The following is a 7,778-nucleotide window of genomic DNA, read 5'->3' on the forward strand; positions in this document are numbered from 1 at the left end:
AGCCGATTCGATCAACTGGAAGAAAGGGTATCAGTGATTGAAGATCAAATGAATGAAATGAAATGAGAAGAGAAGTTTAGAGAAAAAAGAATAAAAAGAAATAAACAAAGCCTCCAAGAAATATGGGACTATGTGAAAAGACAAAATCTACGTCTGATTGGTGTACCTGAAAGTGACGGGGAGAATGGAACCAAGTTGGAAAACACTCTGCAGGATATTATCCAGGAGAACTTCCCCAACCTAGCAAGGCAGGCCAACATTCAAATTCAGGAAATACAGAGAACACCACAAAGATACTCCTCGAGAAGAGCAACTTCAAGACGCATAATTGTTGATTCACCAAAGTTGAAATGAAGGAAAAAATGTTAAGGGCATCCAGAGAGAAAGGGCGGGTTACTCACAAAGGGAAGCCCATCAGACTAACAGCAGATCTCTCTGCAGTAACTCTACAAGCTAGAAGAGAGTGGGGGCCAATATTCAACGTTCTTAAAGAAAAGAATTTTCAACCCAGAATGTCATATCCAGCCAAACTAACCTTCATATATGAAGGAGAAATAAAATACCTAACAGACAAGCAAATGCTGAGAGACTTTGTCACCACCCGGCCTGCGCTACAAGAGCTCCTGAAGAAAGCACTAAACAAGGAAAGGAACAACCAGTACCAGCCACTGCAAAACCATGCCAAATTGTAAAGACCATCGAGGCTAGGAAGAAACTACATCAACTAACGAGCAAAATAACCAGCTAACATCATAATGACAGGATCAAATTCACACATAACAATATTAACCTTAAATGTAAATGGGCTAAATGCTCCAGTTGAAAGACACAGACTGGCAAATTGGATAAAGAGCCAAGACCCATCAGTGTGCTGTATTCAGGAAACCCATCTCACGTGCAGAGACACACATAGGCTCAAAATAAAGGGATGGAGGAAGATCTACCAAGCAAATGGAAAACAAAAAAAGGCAGGGGTTGCAATCCTAGTGTCTGATTAAAACAGACTTTAAACCAACAAAGATCAAAAGAGACAAAGAAGGCCATTACATGATGGTAAAGGGATCAATTCAACAAGAAGAGCTAACTATCCTATATATATGCACCCAATACAGGAGCACCCAGATTGATAAAGTAAGTCCTGAGTGACCTACAAAGAGACTTAGACCACCACACAATAATAATGGGGGACGTTAACACCCCACTGTCAACATTAGACAGATCAACGAGACAGAAAGTTCACAAGGATATCCAGGAATTGAACTCAGCTCTACACCAAGTGGACCTAATAGACATCTACAGAACTCTCCACCCCAAATCAACAGAATATACATTCTTTTTAGCACGACACCACACCTATTCCAAAATTGACCACATACTTGGAAGTAAAGCACTCCTCAGCAAATGTAAAAGAACAGAAATTATAACAAACTGTCTTTCAGACCACAGTGCAATCAAACTAGAACTCAAGATTAAGAAACTCACTCAAAACCAGTCAACTACATGGAAACTGAACAACCTGCTCCTGTATGACTACTGGGTACATAACGAAATGAAGGCAGAAATAAAGATGTTCTTTGAAACCAACGAGAACAAAGACACAGCATACCAGAATCTCTGGGACACATTCAAAGCAGTGTGTAGGGGGAAATTTATAGCGCTAAATGCCCACAAGAGAAAGCAGGAAAGATCTAAAATTGACACTCTAACATCACAATTAAAAGAACTAGAGAAGCAAGAGTAAACACATTCAAAAGCTAGCAGAAGGCAAGAAATAACTAAGATCAGAGCAGAACTGAAGGAGATAGAGACACAAAAAACCCTTCAAAAAATCAATGAATCCAGGAGGTGGTTTTTTGAAAGGATCAACAAAATTGATAGACTGCTAGCAAGATTAATAAAGAAGAAAAGAGAGAAGAATCAAATAGACGCAATAAAAAATGATAAAGGGGATATCACCACCGATCCCACAGAAATACAAACTACCATCAGAGAATACTACAAACACCTCTATGCGAATAAACTAGAAAATCTAGAAGAAATGGATAAATTCCTCGACACATACACCCTCCCAAGACTAAACCAGGAAGAAGTTGAATCTCTGAATAGACCAATAACAGGCTCTGAAATTGAGGCAACAATTAATAGCTTACCAACCAAAAAAGGTCCAGGACCAGATGGATTCACAGCCGAATTCTACCAGAGGTACAAGAAGGAGCTGGTACCATTCCTTCTGAAACTATTCCAATTGATAGAAGAAAAGGGAATCCTCCCTAACTCATTTTATGAGGACAGCATCATCCTGATACCAAAGCCGGGCAGAGACACAACAAAAAAAGAGAATTCTAGACCAATATCCCTGATGAACATCGATGGAAAAATCCTCAATAAAATACTGGCAAACCAAATCCAGCAGCACATCAAAAAGCTTATCCACCATGATCAAGTGGGTTTCATCCCTGGGATGCAAGGCTGGTTCAGCACACGCAAATCAATAAACGTAATCCAGCATATAAACAGAACCAACAACAAAAACCACATGATTATCTCAATAGATGCAGAAAAGGCCTTTGACAAAATTCAACAACCCTTCATGCTAAAAACTCTCAATAAATTAGATATTGATGGGACATATTTCAAAATAATAACAGCTATCTATGACAAACCCACAGCCAATATCATACCGAATGGGCAAAAACTGGAAGCATTCCCTTTGAAAACTGGCACAAGACAGGGATGCCCTCTCTCACCACTCCTATTCAACATAGTGTTGGAAGTTCTGGCCAGGGCAATCAGGCAGGAGAAGGAAATAAGGGGTATTCAATTAGGAAAAGACGAAGTCAAATTGTCCCTGTTTGCAGACGACATGATTGTATATCTAGAAAACCCCATTGTCTCAGCCCAAAATCTCCTTAAGCTGATAAGCAACTTTAGCAAATTCTCAGGATACAAAATCAATGTACAAAAATCACAAGCATTCTTATACACCAACAACAGACAAACAGAGAGCCAAATCATGAGTGAACTCCCATTCACAATTGCTTCAAAGAGAATAAAATACCTAGGAATCGAACTTACAAGGGATGTGAAGGACCTCTTCAAGGAGAACTACAAACCACTGCTCAAGGAAATAAAAGCGGATACAAACAAATGGAAGAACATTCCATGCTCATGGATAGGAAGAATCAATATTGTGAAAATGGCCATACTGCCCAAGGTAATTTACAGATTCAATGCCATCCCCATCAAGCTACCAATGACTTTCTTCACACAATTGGAAAAAACTACTTTAAAGTTCATATGGAACCAAAAAAGAGCCCGCATCGCCAAGTCAATCCTAAGCCAAAAGAACAAAGCTGGAGGCATCACACTACCTGACTTCAAACTATACTACAAGGCTACAGTAACCAAAACAGCATAGTACTGGTACCAAAACAGAGATATAGATCAATGGAACAGAACAGAGCCCTCAGAAATAACGCCGCATATCTACAACTATCTGGTCTTTGACAAACCTGAGAAAAACAAGCAATGGGGAAAGGATTCCCTATTTAATAAATGGTGCTGGGAAAACTGACTAGCCATATGTAGAAAGCTGAAACTGGATCCCTTCCTTACACCTTATACAAAAATCAATTCAAGATGGATTAAAGACTTAAATGTTAGACCTAAAACCATAAAACCCTAGAAGAAAACCTAGGCAATACCATTCAGGACATAGGCATGGGCAAGGACTTGATGTCTAAAACACCAAAAGCAATGGCAACAAAAGACAAAATTGACAAATGGGATCTAATCAAACTAAAGAGCTTCTGTACAGCAAAAGAAACTACCATCAGAGTGAACAGGCAACCTACAAAATGGGAGAAAATTTTCGCAACCTACTCATCTGACAAAGGGCTAATATCCAGAATCTACAATGAACTTAAACAAATTTACAAGAAAAAAACAACCCCATCAAAAAGTGGGCAAAGGACATGAACAGACACTTCTCAAAAGAAGACATTTATGCAGCCAAAAAACACATGAAAAAATGCTCATCATCACTGGCCATCAGAGAAATGCAAATCAAAACCACAATGAGATACCATCTCACACAAGTTAGAATGGCAGTCATTAAAAAGTCAGGAAACAACAAGTGCTGGAGAGAATGTGGGGAAGTAGGAACACTTTTACACTGTTGGTGGGACTGTAAACTAGTTCAACCATTGTGGAAGTCAGTGTGGCGACTCCTCAGGGATCTAGAACTAGAAATACCATTTGACCCAGCCATCCCATTACTGAGTATATACCCAAAGGACTATAAATCATGCTGCTATAAAGACACATGCACACATATGTTTATTGCGGCACTATTCACAATAGCAAAGACTTGGAACCAACCCAAATGTCCAACAATGATAGACTGGATTAAGAAAATGTGGCACATATACACCATGGAATACTATGCAGCCATAAAAAATGATGAGTTCATGTCCTTTGTAGGGACATGGATGAAATTGTAAATCATCATTCTCAGTAAACTATCGCAAGAACAAAAAACAAACACCGCATATTCTCACTCATAGGTGGGAATTGAACAATGAGATCACATGGACACAGGAAGGGGAACATCACACTCTGGGGACTGTTGTGGGGTGGGGGGAGGGGGGAGGGATAGCTTTGGGAGATATACCTAATGCTAGATGACGAGTTAGTGGGTGCAGTGCACCAGCATGGCACATGTATACATATGTAACTAACCTGCACAATGTGCACATGTACCCTAAAACTTAAAGTATAATAATAAAAGAAAAAAAAGAAAAAAAAGAAAAAAAATTAAATATGGTACTGAAGCAAATAAACCACTAATAGCTGAAAAAAATAAATAAATAAATTGTTGATGTATTGAAAAAAAAAAAAGAAATCCACCTAAAATCAGATTCAGATGTCAAGACTGATAATGCCACACACACAGCAAGAGGGTATGAGAAGCTTTATTACTAACATAATGAGGCTTCTCAGGAGGGCACAGTGGGCCTTCCAAGCTGGTCCAAAAATGGCTTGAGAGACCAAGAATAGGAGACTGACTTGAGATTTGTGTGTTGTTTAAGGGGTAGGGCCAGGGTGAGAGTTCCTGTGCACAATCAGGGGCTTGCGTGATTTGAATCTCTTACTGGTGCTAAAGGACAGAGCACCTAGACTTTCTTATAAGCTTACCTGGTGTGGGGCAGAAGGGAAAGATGCATGAGTGAGACTTAAAAGTTGTCAGCAAACATTAAAAAAAAGAGTTAGACTCTTTATTATATACTTCCACGTGGACATTTACTTTAGAAAACTTCATTCATGACAAGCTTCTCCTGTAGAAATCCCAGGCATGTGTAATAGTGCTTTACATAAGTGCAAAGAGCCAAGCCTCACTTAGAGCAACCCTGTCTTCAGCCTTATCTCACTACCACAGTCTAGTGTCTGTGGTTTCCTCTGGATCAATATGGTTTCCTCTGGATCTTCACTGGTTCCTGGTGGAAGATTAACACTCTAGACATCTCTCTGAACTGGTGACTACTGAGGTACAACTGGTCTTGTTTTTGTTTTTGTTTTTGTTTTCTGTGCAGGTAACTGCTTGGGCCTGTTGACCAGACCATTCACCTCTGTGTATACATATGTATATACACAATTATATACATATATAGTTTGCCGATAGTAAGTTTTATATATATATACACATATACGTATATATATACATATATATACACATATACGTATATATATACATATATATATACATATATATACACATATACGTATATATATACATATATATATACATATATATACACATATACGTATATATATACATATATATACATATATATACACATATACGTATATATATACATATATATATATACAGAAATGAGTTATCTCTCACTAGAAAGATTAAGAATAATATCTAACAGAATTACAGTAAGGAGAAAATAAACAGAGAAAGTTTGTTTTGACACATAGTAGGCCTTCAATACATGTTTGTTTTTTACTCCTCTCTTCTGAAAATGAGGTGATGCTCACATAAATAGCATAACACTCAGGGACCACAGGGAAATGTAAACACAAAAAGTGAAGTGTACATACTATTATATATTGTAAGAATTTTGGTGCTCTTTTGGAGTGCTATGATATGTTACCTGATGGAGGTGAGAAGAGGGATAGATATTTGCACCATTTATTTTTATTCTTTCATAAACATTCCCGTCTATTATTCTGTCTTTATATTTAACATCAGAAGTGCACATTTCCATTGAAGTTGAAAAATAACGGTTCACAATCCCTGAATATGCAAAATTTAGTCAAAATGTCTGTGCCATTGCATACAAGAAATAGTAAGTTATCGGTTAATAGTTTGCCGATAGTAAGTTATTGGCAAAACTGTTGCATGTGTCTATTATATGATAAAACAGAAGTCAGTTTATAGTTTACATTGGGATTCCGAAGTGGCATTGGCATAAATCTGTATTTAACTGGCCTTTTAAAATTGTCATAACTTTCCGTGTAATAAAAGGTGTCTAGCACCACCATGAGTGTACTGAAGCTGGAAAAAAGTGGTGAGAAGGCGAAAGGTTTCAATTTATAGAGACCATCCTTGGGTATAAACAGAGGCCTGTAATGGAAAGCCTACTAGGTAATCAGAGGAAGCCTGAGACAAAGACTGTGGCTGAACTCTGCAGTAAAGGACAGTCTATTGGAAACAATTCATTTCAATATCCACAGGGCTACCTGTGTAGACAAAAGACCAAGGAACAAGAGGGATTTGAGATGTCTCAGAAGATTTCTGTTTTGACAAATGATTCAAGGACCAAAAAGCACCTGCATGCCTTGAATCTATAAAAGACCTATGGGAACTTTACTCAGTCACATCCCCAGAAAATGAGAGCAATGTGACCAGAACATATCTGTGATATCTGCCTTACTCCACGTGGAGAATGTGATCAGACTGGTCAATGGAGACACAAGACACTTACAGGACTTCTTTTAGGAAGCAGAACACGTAAAGCAAAAAGTCACTCCATAGGGTTTAAGGTAAATTTAAGATGTTCTTCCTCACACCTTCTCCTAAGATGTTTACAATCAAATCATTCTTCAAGTGTTTTAACAATTAATAACTGTTTGTAGATATGGACCATTGTGTTTAGACCAAAGAGATGAGATTACCCATGCATATATTTGGGCCATTAAGTAGAATGTTGAAATAGGTGAAAGAAAATATTTTGGTTTGTTTGTGTTATTTAAGCTCATTCCTGGCCACTGCAGCAGGAGCCAAGAGAAATGGAGAAAGCAGAAGAGGCTTTCCCTTTATTCTTGAGTTAATCTATACACCACAGATATCCTTTGCCAGGTGTTCCAGACGGTCCCAGGAATATCTGTCAATGTTGAGTAGGACTGCTTTACTTTTATTGAAGGTCTTGACATAAAGGTTCTGGGATTCAAAACTGCTATGGAAGTATGATTTCTCCTATATATATAAGCCTATGTTTATTGACAAGGACCTGGATTTAGCAAACAAGGGAAAAACTACAAGAGTGCAGCCATGAAGTACACAAAGCTGGAAGAATTGCACATTCACATGTGTATGCATACACACAAACACACAGTCAACCAATTTTACATTTGAAAATTGATAAAGTGATAATGAAAAGTGATTATTCAAATTTACACTGAAAACCAACATTATATGCCAGAGAGTGTTTACCTGTATCAGGCACATATAATGTTTTCAAAATTCTGTCTCAGTTGCTTCTCATGAT

The sequence above is a fragment of the Homo sapiens genome, chromosome X (assembly GCF_000001405.40).
Source record: "Homo sapiens chromosome X, GRCh38.p14 Primary Assembly".
Taxonomy (NCBI): Eukaryota; Metazoa; Chordata; class Mammalia; order Primates; family Hominidae; genus Homo; species Homo sapiens.